This window comes from Homo sapiens, chromosome 1, assembly GCF_000001405.40.
Source record: "Homo sapiens chromosome 1, GRCh38.p14 Primary Assembly".
Classification (NCBI taxonomy): domain Eukaryota; kingdom Metazoa; phylum Chordata; class Mammalia; order Primates; family Hominidae; genus Homo; species Homo sapiens.
The window spans coordinates 10,083,781-10,099,743 of NC_000001.11; the positions used below are offsets into that span (position 1 = coordinate 10,083,781).

General features: G+C 42.6%; 1 protein-coding gene across 7 annotated transcripts in view, besides 2 other annotated features; it reads left to right on the forward strand.

Annotated features, from left to right (window-relative positions):
• Positions 1–15,963, forward strand: part of UBE4B (ubiquitination factor E4B) — a 148,282-nt gene that overhangs the window by 50,823 nt on the left and 81,496 nt on the right. For 6 of the 7 annotated variants that reach the window (NM_001410744.1, NM_001105562.3, NM_006048.5 and 3 more), the window contains exon 3: positions 11,681–11,816. In NM_001410744.1, coding sequence (NP_001397673.1) covers positions 11,681–11,816 — 136 coding nt within the window. Of the gene's footprint in view, positions 1–11,680; positions 11,817–14,811; positions 14,889–15,963 lie in introns of those variants that run through there. The other variant, XM_011540488.4, reaches the window with a different exon arrangement.
• Positions 5,937–6,438: an enhancer, noted in NCBI's record as "H3K27ac hESC enhancer chr1:10149775-10150276 (GRCh37/hg19 assembly coordinates)". NCBI's record gives its function as "activates a minimal SCP1, AML or CMV promoter by ChIP-STARR-seq in primed H9 embryonic stem cells {active_cell/tissue: H9 hESC(primed)}" and the evidence as "EXISTENCE:reporter gene assay evidence [ECO:0000049][PMID:30033119]".
• Positions 6,439–6,938: an enhancer, noted in NCBI's record as "H3K27ac hESC enhancer chr1:10150277-10150776 (GRCh37/hg19 assembly coordinates)". NCBI's record gives its function as "activates a minimal SCP1, AML or CMV promoter by ChIP-STARR-seq in primed H9 embryonic stem cells {active_cell/tissue: H9 hESC(primed)}" and the evidence as "EXISTENCE:reporter gene assay evidence [ECO:0000049][PMID:30033119]".

Genomic DNA, 15,963 nt, shown 5'->3' on the forward strand with positions numbered 1-15,963 from the left:
GTCCTATGCTGGCATGGGTACTTCCTCGAATTGGACTGGCCTTCGGGCCCCCAAAGGGGTATGTTTTATTAGTTCTGGGCTTTATCTTACAGCATTATTCCTAGGGTCATACTAATTACTTTGTGAATCTGGTTAAAGTGCTCATGATATCTTGTTCTTGAGACGTGTGCAGTGCTGGGAATCAATACACTTCCTGTTTTGACTTGGGGTTGATTCTTGCACTTTTCCCTATCCGCAGCCCCCACCCCCTGCCCCATTTTTGCTAACCTGGTCCTGCAACCTCTGCTGTGCTTGTAGTTTTACCAACTGCCTGCTTCTGACTCCAAACTGCCCAGTAGCACTCTCCCCACACAGTGGGATGTGAACTGTGCCACGGTACTGCATGGCCTTTGTCATGTGCCCAAGCCTAGCAAAGGCACAGGGGCAAATACTGTGTGTGAGAGTGATTTCTATACCATGTGTTCCTGTCCCTTAAGGATCTTATGGCTTAGTAGGAGAGATAATACATGTCACTCACCTGCTTGAAAGCCTTCCTCGTCTCCTTATTTCCAATTATAATCTAATCCGAGGGCTTGCAAGGTGCTGTATCATCATGTTCCACCCTCTTCATGTAATTCACTATCTTGATTTTCAGAGCATGTTCCCTGTTGCTGTCCCAGTCAACATATTCACCCCAAAAGGCCTATAACCAGTAGAGATCGTGCCACACAAACCACTCTTAGTTTTGGGTGCATTTGTCTGGTCTTCCAAACTAGATTGAAAGCTCTGAAAAAAAAAACTATCTTGTGTTTCTATCTGTTGAGCTCATAGTAGGTATCCAGGAAGTAGTAGGGTTGACTGCATTGATTTGGGACTACACTGGGAGTTTTCTTCGCCATCTCCCTTTAGTTTTCCTTTTTTTCTTTCTTTCTTTTCTTTTTTTTCTTTTTTTTTTTGAGATGTCGTCTTGCTCAGTCCCCCAGGCTGGAGTGCAGTGGTGCGATCTTGGCTCACTGTAGCCTCCACCTCCCAGGTTCAAGCAATTCTACTGCCTTAGCCTCCCGAGTAGCTGGGATTACAAGCACCCGCCACCATTCCTGGCTAATTTTTTTTTTTGTATTTTTAGTTGAGACAGGGTTTCACCATGTTGGTGATGCTGGTCTCAGACTCCTGGGGCCTAGCGATCCCCCTGCCTCAGCCTCCCAGAGTGTTAGGATTACAGGCATGAGCCACTGTACCCGGCCTCTCTCCAGTTTCCAGTTGGAATCCAAGGGAAGTAAGTTTAAGATAAAGTTACGATTTTGAAATCTTTGGATTCAGAAGAATTTGTCACCTTTAACACCTAGAGTTGAACGTTCATACCTGGAGAGCCTTAACATTAAGCCCTAGCCAGCCTCCAGCAAGTGGACATTGGTCAGGTTTGGCAGGATTCGTCCCCTGAAGTGGACTGAGAGCCACACCCTGGCCTGTCACCATACCCATCCCCTATCCTTAGTGAAGCAAAACTCCTTTGTTCCCTTCTCCTTCTCCTAGTGACAGGAAATATTGTGATCCTAAAGAATGAAAATAGCTTGTCACCTCGTGGCCTCAGGCCTCTTGACTTCAGGCGGTTCTGTTTAATCAAGTGACATCTTCCCGAGGCTCCCTGAATGTGGCAGATGAAAGAGACTAGTTCAACCCTGACCTGAGGGGAAAGCCTTTGTGAAGGGTCAGGAGATGTTCACCAGCCAAGGTTGTGTGGTTCAGTTTCTCTTTTGTTGATAAGATTTGTCACTGTTTTGATAGGGGATGCATAATGGAGTATTTGGATTTGTTATTGTAAACTATGCAGCATGGTTTTCAAAAAACAACAACACATCTTTATAACTTTAATGCAACTGTAAAGGGTTATAGGTTTTTTTTTAACATCAGTTCTATCATTTTACAGAGAAACTGAGGTAGTAAGAACAAGTACAGAGTTCACTAACAGCGTGCATTTGATGCAGCCACCATAAATTCAGAAAATATCCTCAAAGCCCTCCTGTATTCAGTGACTTTTTTTTTTCTTTGAGACAGAGTCTCGCCCTGTTCCCCAGGCTGGAGTACAGTGGCGCGATTTTGCCTCACTGCAACGTCTGCCTCCTGGATTCAAGCAATTCTCCTGCCTCAGCCTCCTGAGTAGCTGGGATTACAGGCACCCACCACCACGCCCAGCTAATTTTTTTTATTTTTTATTTTTTATTTCTTTTTTGAGACAGAGTCTCGCTCTGTCTCCCAGGCTGGAGTGCAGTGGCACAATCTCCGCTTACTGCAAGCTCCACCTCCCTGGTTCACGCCATTCTCCTGCTTCAGCCTCCCGAGTAGCTGGGACTACAGGCGCCCGCCACCACGCCAGGCTAATTTTTTGTATTTTTAGTAGAGATGGGGTTTCACCGTGTTAGCCAGGATGGTCTCGATCTCCTGACCTCGTGATCTATCTGCCTCGGCCTCCCAAAGTGCTGGGATTACAGGCATGAGCCACTGCGCCTGGCCAATTTTTTGTATTTTTTAGCAGAGACAGGGTTTCGCCATGTTGGTCAGGCTTGTGTTGAACTCCTGACCTCAGGTGATCCACCCGCCTTGGCCTCCCAAAGTGTTCAGTGACTATTAAATATGCACTGTGAAATGTATTCTTAGTTATCAGGGAGGGGTTGCAGGGGAGAGGAAGTGACCTTGGATGTAGAGATAAATGAGGTATGGGGGGACTCAAAATCCCGTTATATGCATATATCCTTTTTAGCTACAAGAGTTAGGTGGATTATAATTTACATTTGTTTGTTCATTGTGAGTTGTTTTTAACAAGTAATGTCAATATAGAAGCGTCAGTGGATCCATAGGAATTACACTTGTGTGATTATTTGAAATGATAGGTTGAGAGAGAAAAGTCATTCAACAGTGGTGGGATAAGGTTCCCTCTCTCTTTTCTCTTTTTTTTTTGAGATGTAGTCTCACTGTCACCCAGGATGGAGTGCAGTGGCATGATCTCACTGCAGCCTCTGCCTCCCAGGTTCAAGCAATTCTCGTGCCTCAGCCTCCCAAGTAGCTGGGACTATAGGCATGTGCCACCACGCCCGGCTAATTTTTGTAATTTTAGTAGACACAGGGTTTCACCATGTTGGCCAGGCTGGTGTCAAACTCCTGATCTCGGCCTCCCAAAGTGCTGGGATTATAGGCTTGAGCCACCGCGCCTGGCCTCCCCGTCTCTTTTTTAGTACTTAGGTATGCTAAAAGTGGACAAGACCAGAGCAGATGTTGTGGTAACAAGGCAAATCTGTTCTTTACAGTGGAGTTTGCCCTGATTTCTCATTCTGTTCTCGTCTGACGCATACAGGTGTATCTATAGAACTTGTAAACACGTTCACATTGGTTTTTTTCATTGGCTCCTCAAAGTAGAACTATGAAGTAGGCTGCACAGATGCCAGTATTACCAGAGCATAGGTAAAAATATTAAGTAAGAAGACTTAAGATCACAAAACTAGAAATGATGGAACTGGGTTCCAGTCCTAGTTTCTTTGTAAAATGAACATTTATTTTGGACTAACTTTCAATGTACAGAAAAGTTATGAAGATAGTATACAGGATTCCTGTGTACCCTTCATCCAGTCTCCCCTAATGTTAATGTCTGGTTCATTTGTCAAAACTAAGGGATTAGCCTGGATATGATTTTGACTAAACTAAACATGAGTCTCCTTAGTCTCCATTGGTCTACAACAGTATCTCAGTTCTGTTTTCATGATCTTCACAGTTTTGAAGAATACTAGTCATTACTTTGTAGAATGTCCCTTAATTTGGCTTTGTCTGGTGTTTTGCTCATGATAAGACTGGGGTTGTGGGTTTTGGGGAAGATTATGTCACACAGGTGAAGTGCCCTTCCCATCACATCGTATCAGGGGTATATAATATCCACATGATGTCCCTGGTGCTGTTAAACATCATCACATGCTTGAGTTAGTGCTGGCCGTGTTTCTCCACTTAAACTTAGTATTTTTCCCTTTCCATATTCAGTTCTTTGGTATCGAGTTCCTAAGTCCATCCCACACTTAAGGGGTGGGAATTAAACTTCACCTACTGGAGTGGGGAAGTACATATGTAATCTGGAATTCTATGAGGAAAACTTGTCCCTTCTCCCCTGCTATGTATTTAATCTCTTAGATCAGTATGAACTCACACACATTTATTTTATACTTTGGGTTATGATTTCAGTAGCAACATTACTTATTTTACAGGAATTATTCCAGCTTTGACCATGGGAGCTCTTTCAAGTTGGATCCTTGGTCCATTTGACATGCCTCTTCTTTTATATTTTTGAGCACTGTCTTTCTAGCACCGTATGATGCTCTAGACTTATCTTGGATTTTTCCTGCCCCAGCCCTAGAAATCAGCCAGTTCTCCAAGGAGCAGTCCTGGTCTACTGACTCCAGATGTATGATTCTATGCATGATTCTGCCTTTTGACACTAAGGAGAGGAATATTCTGTCTTGTAAATATGAAGATCAAAGTGATTTTCTAATTCCGGCTGTTGGTTTTCTTATCCCAGTATTTAAGATACCATTGTTGTTCTTCACAGACTTGAAATGTCATTTTATTTTATTTGTTTTTTAAATTTATTTTATTTTTTTTTGAGATGGAGTCTCACTCTGTTGCCCAGGCTGGCGTGCAGTGGCGCAATCTCACTGCAACTTCCGCCTCCCGGGTTCAAGAAATTCTCCTGCCTCAGCCTCCTGAGTAGCTGGGATCACAGGTGCCCGCCACCATGCCCAGCTAATTTTTGTATTTTTAGTAGAGACGGGGTTTCACCATGTTGGCCAGGTTGGTCTTGAACTCCTCAGCTGATCCACCTGCCTTGTCCTCCCAAAGTGTTGGGATTACAGGTGTGAGCCACCACGCCTGACCGTATTTTATTATTTTATTATTATTTTTGAGACAGGTTCTCCCTCTGTCACCCAGGCTGGGGGACAGTGACGCAATCATGGCTCACTGCAAGCTTGACCTCTGGGCTCAAGTGATCCTCCTACCTCAGCCTCCTGAGTAGCTGGGACTACAGGCTTGCACCACCATGCCCAACTAATTTTTTTATTATTTGTAGAGATGGGGTCTCTCTATTTTGCCCAGGTTGGTCTTAACCTCCTGGGCTCAAGCGATCCTCCCACCTCAACCTCTCAATGTGTCGGGATTACAGGCGTGAGCCACCACACCCAGCCCACTTTATTTTTGTTTAGTCACAAGAACAAAATGTTTTCTTTTTTTGAGATAAAGTCTCGCTCTATGGCCCAGGCTGGAGTGCAGTGGCGCGATCTCAGCTCACTGCAACCTCTGCCTCCCAGGTTCCAGTGATTCTGCTGCCTCAGCCTCCCTAGTAGCTGAAACTGCAGGCATGTGCCACTGCATCCAGCTAATTTTTGTATTTTTAGTAGAGACAGGGTTTCACCATATTGGCCAGGATGGTTTCGATCTCTTGACCTCGTAATCTGCCCACCTTAGCCTCCCAAAGTGCTGGGACTACAGGCATGAGCCACCGTGCTCAGCCAAGAACAAAATGTTTTTATCAGGAAATTAGCTGCTAAGAAAATGTCAGTCTGCTCTATGAAATAGAATATGTTTATTATAATCAGCATTGAGGCAGAAGTCTGAAGCAGGAGGATCATTTGAGCCCAAGTTCCAGGCTGCCTTGAACTATCATCTTGCCACTGTACCGCAGCCCAGGTATCACTGAGAACATGTCTCTGAAAAAAAAAAAAAAGTTTTCAGGGGTGAGACTTGGTGTTAACCAAATAAAGTGCAAGTATACTTTGTATTTTCCGTGAATATTAACGCTTTAGCTTAATTCATTGTCAAGAGCTATATAAATAAGCTTTAGGATTTTGATTAATAGAATTAATGACTCCTTTTATAAACCTAATTATTTTTAAGTTTTACTTTTGTAATTTTTTTTTTTTTTTTGAGACGGAGTCTCACTCTGTCTTCCATCCTGGAGGGCAGTGGCTCAATCTCGGCTCACTGCAACCTCTGCCTGCAAGGTTCAAGCAATTCTCCTGCCTCAGCCTCCTGAGTAGCTGGGATTACAGGCGTGCACCAGCATGTCTGGCTAATTTTTTTTTGTATTTTTAGTAGAGACAGGGTTTCACCATGGTGGCCAGGCTGGTCTCGAACTCCTTGATCCGCCCACCTCGGCCTCCCAAAGTGCTGGGATTACAGGCATGAGCCACCATGCCTGGTTGCTTTTGTAATTTTTGAGTGTATAAAATAGGTAACTTTGTTTTAAAATATTTGATCCAAAGGACTGTTCAGCAGTCTGGGGTAAAGGAATTACAGCATTATGTTAGGAATCAGGCAGCCTGTGTGTGTGTGTGTTTTTTTTTTTAGGCATGGTTTCACTTTGTTGCCCAGGCCGAAGTGCAGAGGTGCCATTGTGGCTCACTGCAGCCTCAGCCTCCTGGGCTCAGGTGACCCACCCCCCTCAGCTTCCTGAGTAGGTGGGACTACAGGCGCATACCATCACGCTTGGCTCATTTTTGTATTTTTCATAGAGACGGGGTCTCCCTGTGTCACGCAGGCTGGTCTTGAATTCCTGGACTGAAGCGATCTACTCCACCTTGGCCTCCAAAAGTTCTGGAATTATAGGCGTGAGCCACCATGCCTGGCTGAGACCTGTGTTTTACTCTTTGCTCTGTTTCTAACAGGCGAGGAGGTCCTAAGGGAAGTTTTTAGACTCTGTAGACCTAGATATTCTTATCTGTAAAAGAGGAGGGAAGATGGTTGGCCATTACCTTTAAGACCAATGCCCCCAACAAAACAGATTTATTGAGGCGTTTTGGTTTTTTAAAAAATATGTTGTAGAGATGATGTCTCACTATGTTGTTTAAGCTGGTCTTGATCAAGCGATCCTCTTGCCTCGACCGCCCAATCTGTTGGAAGAACAGGTATGAGCCACCACACTTGACCTTTTATTGAGGTTTCAAGGACGCTTTTGACAATTCTGTGCTCTTTTTACGGTGGAATTTAGAAGCCTATGCATTTGTGTGTGTGTGTGTGTGTGTGTGTGTGTGTGTGTGTGTAATACTGGAACAGGCCTAATGTTACAAGTTAAAGGTAGATATTTGGTCTAGTTTGTACTTGAAAGGGAACATCATTCAGGAAATATTACAATACTAGGAGAAAGTCTTACAGACATGAAATTTTTATGTCCTTTGATGTTCTGATCTTCCCACATAGAATGCATAATTTCCTTTAGCAAACTCTTCTCAGTTATAGAAGTTGGATACTGCCGCCTAGAAGGTTGCTAATTCCTGTTTCCTGAAGCAGACATAGCTTTCTCCATTCTGTGTTACACACCTCACTTGTGGAAGGTTTGTTCTATAGTTGATATGTGGGGAGTTTATTCATCTTCTAAAAGAGGGTTACAGCAGATTATGTTCATTTTTTAATTCTTTAATATCTGGCTTTGTGAAGATGAAGGAAGAAAAAACCTGTATTCCTTGAGACTTGGCTTCCTGACCATGATTCCTCAAGTTTGGGGTGGGAGAGGGCATGAAGACAAGGGAGTGTGTGAGGTTTGAAAACAGTGATATTTTGTACTATTGATTTGATGTGTTTTTAGTCGCAATATTTAATTCACATTGATTTCTAAATAAAATCAAAGACACCATCAGGTTTTTGTGTGTGTCCTTTTTTTTTTGACACAGGGTCTTAAAAAAGACCCATCTGTTGCCCATGCTGGAGTGCAGTGGTATGATTATAGCCCACTGCAGCTTCTAATTCCTGGGCTCAAGCAATCCTTCCACCTCACCCTCTCAAGTAGCTAAGATTACAGGTGCATGCCACCATGCCTAATTTTTATTTTTTTTTTAAGATGGAGTATTGCTGTGTCACCCAGGCCGCAGTGCAGTGGTGCGATCTTGGCCCACTGCAACTTCCACCACCTGGGTTCAAACGATTCTTCTGACTCAGCCTCCCTAGTAGCTGGGATTACAGGCTCCCGCCTCTGCGCCAGGCTAATTTTTGTATTTTAGTAGAAACAGGGTTTCACTATGTTGGTCAGGCTGGTCTCTAACTCCTGACCTCAAGTGATCCACCCGTCTTGGCCTCTCAAAAGTGCTGAGATTACAGGTGTGAGCCACTGCGCCCGGACTACCTGACTAATTTTTTAAGTATTTTGTAGAGACAGGGTCTCTGTGTTGCCCAGGCTGGTCTCAAACTCCTGGCCTCAAGTGATCCTCTCTCCTTGACTCCCCAAAAGTGCTGGGATTACAGATGTGAGGCACGACTGACCATCAGTATTTTAAATTTAAGAAAGGAGAGAAATGGGTTATGGTGGCATATGTTCTTTGTTTCAGCTACTCAGAAGCTGAGGCAGGAGGATCCCTTGAGCCCAGAAGGTTGAGGCTACAGTGCCCTAGGATCACACCCCTGCACTCCAGCCCTGGCCAACATAGTGAGACCCATCTCTTTTGTTTTGTTTTGTTTTTGAGACAGAATCTTGCTCTGTCACCCAGGCCGGAGTGCCGTGGCACGATCTTGGCTCACTGCAACCTCCGCCTCCCAGGTTAAAGCGATTCTTCTGCCTCAGATTCCCGAGTAGCTGGGACTACAGGTGCATGCCGCCACGCCCAGCTAATGTTTGTATTTTTAGTAGAGACAGAGTTTCACCATATTGGCCAGGCTGGTCTCGAACTCCTGACCTCATGATCCGCCCGCCTCAGCTCCCAAAGTGCTGGGATTACAGGCGTGAGCCACTGTGCCTGGCTGAGACCCATTTCTTAAAATAAGGAGGCCAGGCACCGTGGCTTATGCCTGTAATCCTAACACTTTGGGAGACTGAGGCAGGTGAATCACCTGAGGTCAGGAGTTCAAGACCAGCCTGACAAACATGGTTAAACCCCATCTCTACTAAAAGTACAAAAATTAGCTGGGCATGGTGGCGCATGCCTGTAATCCTAGCTACTCGGGAGGCTGAGGCAAGAGAGTTGCTTGAACCTGGGAGATGGAGGTTGCTTTGAGCCGAGATCGTGCCATTGCACCCCAGCCTGGGCAATAAGAGTGAAACTCTATCTCAAAAAAAAAAAAGAAGAAAGAAAAGAAAAGAAGGAATGGAGTCCCCTGGTGTTTAGAGATTGAGGAGCACTTGTATACATAATAAATTGTTGCAGAATTGCCCCACTTGATCCGAAATGTGAAGATCATGTGGAAGATGCAGGAAAAAATGAATTCAGATGATCTCTTTGATGCCTTATAAAAATATTACAAATGCAGTATGTTACACTATGTGATATACACTGGAGCTATATTGCTACAGTATTATTGTACACATACTATACTATACTACAGATACAGTTTTTAAAACAATTTGTAATTATGTGTTTAATTTTATAACTTGTTTTGTAGGGTAGAAATTTTAAAGCCTGCTTATTTACTACCATAATGATCATTGAAGTTTATTATTGATTAATTTTAACTAAAAAGTTACTTGGCCTTTAATTGTGATAGGTAAAATAATATTCTCCTAAGAACCTTGTGATGGTGTATTATTTATTCCTTCAATAAGTATTTTTTCAGGGCTTACTTTGGGTTATATTTCCTGAAATTAATGAATCAAAAGTTTTACTGTATTCTGTGAACTTGTTTCAGAATTCTCACTACGGTAGATGCTTTGTGTATTTTACTTGAGTCCTAGGAAGAGAGAAAATTTAGTTTCTTATTTCCTTCATAAATCCTGCAGAAGTTTTAATAAATTAGTACATGTGAAGAACTGCTTTCAGGAATGGATAAATGTTTTATAATATTCTTCAATGAAGAGAAACATTAAAAAGTGGCAAGTTTACTGTCATAGAATGCTGGAAGGGTTAAAATTGTATTTATTCAGTGATTGTTTTCACTACAACGGGTAACTCAAGTTTCTCTGTTTTCTTTTTTCATACTTTTTTTTTTCTTTTTTTTTTGAGACGGAGTCTTGCTCTGTCACCCAGGCTGCAGGGCAGTGGGGCGATCTTGGCTCACTGCAACCTCCGCCTCCCAAGTTAATGCGATTCTCCTGCCTGAACCTCCCAAGTAGCTGGGATTATAGGAGTGGGCCACCACGCCCAGCTAATTTTTGTATTTTAACTAGAAACAGGGTTTCACCACATTGGCCATGCTGGTCTCGAACTCCTGACCTCAAATGATCTGCCTTCCTCGGCCCCTCAAAGTGCTGAGATTACAGGCGTGAGCCATCGTGCCCAGCCAATGGTTTTTTTAAACATGTGTCATTTTCCTTTTCAGCACCATAGGTATATATATTTTAAAGTATTTGCAAATGCCTGGGTAAACATTCTTCTTTTTTCATAGGAAGATATTCATAGAGTTAAAGTAATTTTTAAAATTTCAATGTAAAACATGATTTTAAAGACATTGATGGGAAATTGCTGTGAGAAATCATCTGTCCCTGTACTAGTGACTACAGTTTCACTGTACTGTCAGCTCTGTGAGGGCAACAAAGTGTCAGGTTTTTAATTTCCACTAAGGTGTTCAATCAATAAATGGATCGATCTATATCAAAGGACATTGTTGAGTCCACTTGAATTTTTTTTTCAATATTTTACTATAAAAATTGTAAACATACAGTAAAGTTGAGAGAATTTTGCAGGGAACACCCGTATACTCACCATCTAGATTCTATCATTAACTTTTTTTTTTTTTTTTTAGACGGAGTCTTGCTCTGTTGCCCAGGCTGGAGTGCAATGGCGCAATCTTGGCTCACTGCAACCTCCGCCTCCCGGGTTCAAGCAATTCTCCTGCCTCAGCCTCCTGAGTAGCTGGGACTACAGGCGCCCGCCACCACGCCCAGCTAATTTTTTTGTATTTTTAGTAGAGACGGGGTTTCACCATGTTAGCCAGGATGGTCTCAATCTCCTGACCTTGTGATTCACCCGCCTCGACCTCCCAAAATGGTGGGATTACAGGTGTGAGCCACCACACCCAGCCTCATTAACATTTTATTATACTCGCTTTATCACATATTTTTCTATAGGTTTATTAATATATCCTTTTATTGTTTTTGAGATGGAGTCTCGCTCTGTCACCTAGGCTGGAGTGCGGTGGTGTGATCTTGGCTCACTGCAACGTCTTCCTCCCAGATTCAAAGGATTCTCCTGCCTCAGCTTCCTGAGTAGCTGGGATTACAGGTGCCCAGCTAATTTTTGTATTTTTAATAGACATGAGGTTTCACCATGTTGGCCAGGCTAATCTTGAACTCCAAACCTCAGGTGGTCCACCTGCCTTGGCCTCCCAAAGTGCTGGGATTCCAGGCATGAGCCACTGCATCGGCCTGGTTTATTAATATATCTTCTTTTGGGCGCATTTCAAGGATTTTTCTGGACTATCATGGAAGTTAATTTGTATTTCTAATTTGTATTTGTGGGCCATAGTTTGAATTGGTGCAAGAGAGGTGATGAGGGGTGAGTTTTAGGCATTAGATGTAGCTCTGTTACTGACCTCATATGAAGTATATTGATAACTTATGATTTCTTAGTAATGTTCCTATGATTTTATTATTGTTTCCAGCTTTTTATATAATCTTCTGATAGAAATTCCTCGGTTGCTGCAATGTCATGATGGGTGACTGCAGATTGTGCGTGTTTACTGTCGCTATTACAAATAACTTGAACATTATTTCACATGGGGCTTCATCCTTCCTGTGTTTTCTGTTTAGGAGTAGCCCATCGAAGCCAGAGCAGTGAAGGAGTCAGTTCTCTCAGCAGCTCGCCCTCTAATAGCCTTGAAACGCAATCTCAGTCTCTCTCACGTTCCCAGAGCATGGATATCGATGGTGTCTCATGTGAGAAAAGGTAAAATGAAGCCAGTTTTCTAATATGCTCTTTTATTTAGGGAAAGAGAAAGATCCATTCACTTTAGCCTCTAGTCCATAGTCAGAAATGCCAGCTAGAGACCCATGCCAGTCCTTAGCAAATTAGTGTCAAATGTATTAAATTTAAAGATTTTGTATTATTCAGAAATATTCTTCATACTTTTGTTGCTGTTGAGACAGAGTTTCACTCTGTCGCCCAGGCTGGAGTGCAGTGGTGCGATCATGGCTCACTGCAATTTCCGCCTCCCAGGTTCAAGTGATTCTCCTGCCTCAGCCACCTGAGTAGCTGGGATTACAGGTGTGTGCCACCATGCCTGGCTAATTTTTGTATTTTTAGTAGAGACAGGGTTTCAGCTGTTGGCCAGGCTGGTCTCAAACTCCTGGCCTCAAGAGATCTTCCTGCCTTGGCCTCCCAAAGGACTGGGATTACAGGTATGAGCCACTGTGCGTGGCCCACTATACTTGCATATTAAATGTCTTTTATGAAATAATGGTGTAGTCAGTTAAAAAAAATCTATTGTTCTCATTTTGTAAATATAAAGTTGGCAAGCATATGCCTCTCCCTAAAACTTTTACTAATTAGTGAAATTTAAAAGTTTGGAATATTTCATACAGGTAAGCCAAATAAATACCCTATTTGCTTCGTACGGATCAAGGTGTCTTGAAAGAGCCCTCCTGTGTTGCATATGTGCCAAAAATGGGTGGTAAGAGTGGCTGAGGTATTGACTCCTTTCATGGTTGAGCAAGTCAGACTCCTTGGACCTGGCTCCTCTCCCCTCAAGCAGTGGCCTCGGTTTGTGTCAGTGGGCTAAACAGATGAAGAGGGGAATTAAGTCCGGGCTCGATGGCTCATGCCTGTAATCCTAGCACTTTGGGAGGCCGAGGCAGGTGGATCACTTGAGGTCAGAAGTTCAAGACCAACCTGGAAACCCTGTTGCTACTAAAAATACAAAAACTTAGCTGGGCCTGGTGGCAGGCGCCTGTAATCTCAGCTACTGGGGAGGCTGAGGCAGGAGAATCACTTGAACCCAGGAGGTGGAGGTTGCAGTGAACCAAGATTGTGCCACTGCACTCCAGCCTGGCCGATAGAGTGAGACTCCATCTCAAAAAAAGAAAAAGGAGAATTAAAAATATGAATAAGGGGCTGGGCGTGGTGGCTCACGCCTGTAATCCCAGCACTTTGGGAAACAGAGACATGGATCACTTGAGGCCAGGAGTTCAAGACCAACCTGTCCAACATCGTGAAACTCCGTCTCTACTAAAAATACAAAAATTAGCTGGGTGTGGTGTTGCATGCCTGTAGTACCAGCTACTTGGGAGGCTAAGGCAGGAGAATCACTTGAACCTGGGAGGTGTAGGCTACAGTGAACTGAGATCACACCACTGCCCTCCAGCCTGGGTGACAGAGTAAGACTCTGCATCAAAAAAAAAAAAAAAATAATAATAATAATAATAACCAAATAGAATATCTAGAAATGAAAAGGTAATTTACATTGAGAACTTGCTGTAAGAGTTAAATAGGGGTTAGACATAGCTGAAGAAAGAATTGACAAACTGAAAGAGCTGAGGAAATTACCCAGAACGTACCACAAAGAACAAAGCAGATGAAAAATATAAAAGATATTTAGAGATACAGAGGACAGAGTCCTTGGTTTCTCCTGAAATGTATCTAGGATTGAAATTTCTGGGTAGAAAATTAAAATTGTAGTGAATGCAGATGTTCAGCTTTAAAAAAGAAAAAAAAGACAACAGGGGTCCAGGATATATCTAAACATCAAAAAGGGAGAATAGAGAGTTGGAGAGATTTCCTTCTGCTCACTCTTATTCCACATTTTTTTCTCTACTGGTTTGAAAGATATTATTTTAAAAAATCAGGCCAGGAGCATTTGAAAGATATTATTTTAAAAAATCAGGCCAGGAGCAGTGGCTTACGCCTGTAATCCCATCACTTTGGGAGGCCGACGCAGGTGTTCACTTGAGGTCAGGAGTTCGAGACCAGCCTGGCCAACATGTTGAAACCCCGTATCTACTAAAAATACAAAAATTAGCGGGGCATGGTGGCATGTACCTGTAGTCCCAGCTACTTTGGAGGCTGAGGCAGGAGAGTCGCTTGAACTTGGGAGGTGGAGGTTGCTGTGACCTGAGATCGCACCGCTGCACTCCAGCTTGGGCAACAGAGTGAGACTTTGTCTCAAAAAAAGTAATAAATAAATAAACACATCATGGAAAATTGGGTGTCCATTTCCTCAAGCATTTGTCCTTATTTTTTTTGGAGACGGAGTCTCACTCTGTCTCCCATACTGGAATGCCGTGGCACAATCTCGGCTCACTGCAACCTCCGCCTCCTGGGTTCAAGCAATTCTCCTGCCTCAGCCTCCCGAGTAGCTGGGATTACAGACATGGGCCACCACGCATGGCTAATTTTTGAATTTTTAGTTGAGATGGGGTTTCACCATATTGGCCAGGCTGGCCTAAAACTCCTGACTTCAAGTGATCCACCCGCCTCAGCCTCGCAAAGTGCTGGGATTACAGGCGTCTTATATTTCAATTAAGTTTGCTTTAAAATAATACAATATAATATAAATATAGTATATCATGATCAATTTAGGCTTACTTTAGGAATGCAAGGATGCATTGATATTAGAAAATCTATAAATATCATCTACCATATTGCATGTTAAAAAGAAAATCCTTATAATGTTGGTAGCTGCAAGAGTTTGATAAAATTCCACATTAATTCATGGTAATAAGAAAATGAGGAACAGAAAGGAGTATCTTTAAACTCACAGTGTGGCACAGACAAAGTTCACCAAATATTCCACAGGCTCCCCAGAATTTCCCATTCTCTTTTACAGTTAGATTGGGGCCAATGACTAGTTCTGTCCTGTAGACTATGAACTAGAGTGACGTGTCACTTTTAGATGAAGGCAGTTGAGCCAATGTTCCTCCTCCGTCCCTCTCTTCTCTTGCTCCAGTGACCTTGGAGGCTGTGTATTGCAGATGGCATAGATTAAAGATGGAGTAAGGATGCTTCACTCTCATCAGACTTTGTGTAAGCAAGAACTAAATCCTTACAGTGTTAAGCCTCTTAAGATTTCAGAGTGTATGTGTTACTACAGTATAGCCTGTCTTACTCTAACTAATATAAAGGGCATCTACCAAAAAACTACAGCAACTCTCCTATTCAGTGGTGAGAAGTTAGCATCATTTTCTGTAAAATCAGCAATAAGAACAAGGATGACTGCTATTTCTTCTTGTATTTAGCAGTGCAGTAAAACAAGTAAGGATTGGAATGGAAGAAACAACAGTAATAATTTGCAGATAAATTATTTACATGTTGGCTGGGCACAGTGGCTCACACCTGTAATCCCAGCACTTTTGGGAGGCCGAAGCAGACAGATCACTTGAGGTCAGGAGTTCGAGACAAGCCTAGCCAACATGGTAAAACCCTGTTTCCACTAAAAATACAAAAAAAATTAGCCGGGCATGGTGGTGCGTGCCTGTAATCCCAGTTATTTGGGAGGCTGAGGCAGGAGAATTGCTTGAACCTGGGAGGCAGGGGTTGCAGTGAGCCAAGATTGCACCACTGCACTACAGCCTGGGTGACAGAGCAAGACTCTGTCTAAAAAAGAAAAAATTATTTACATGTAAACTTTCTATGTATAAATAAATAAGTTGCTTATAAGAAGTGTATATTTAAAATCAGTTGCATTCCTGTCTGCCAGCAACAAAAAGTTAGAAAACGTAATTTTTAAAAAGGTGCCATTCACAATTTCATTAAAAAGTATTAACATATGGTACCTAGGAATAAATTTAGCAAAAGAAGTATAAAATTTTTATAGAGAAAATTACTAAAGCTTATTGATAGACCTTAAAGAAGATCTTAATACTTGGAGAGTAATGAAAACTCAGTAATATATTACTTCTCCCCAAGTTGATCTCTAAGAGTGAAAAAAATTTTGGTCAAAATCCCGGGAGGGTTTTTAAGGAATTCCTCAGGCTGATTCCTAAGTATGTGTAGAAGAGGAAAGAGCCAAGGATAGCAAAACCTCTTAAAGGAGAAGAATAAAGTGGAGACATTGACCTAGCAGATATCAAGATTTGTGAAGTTTTAGTAATTAAGACAA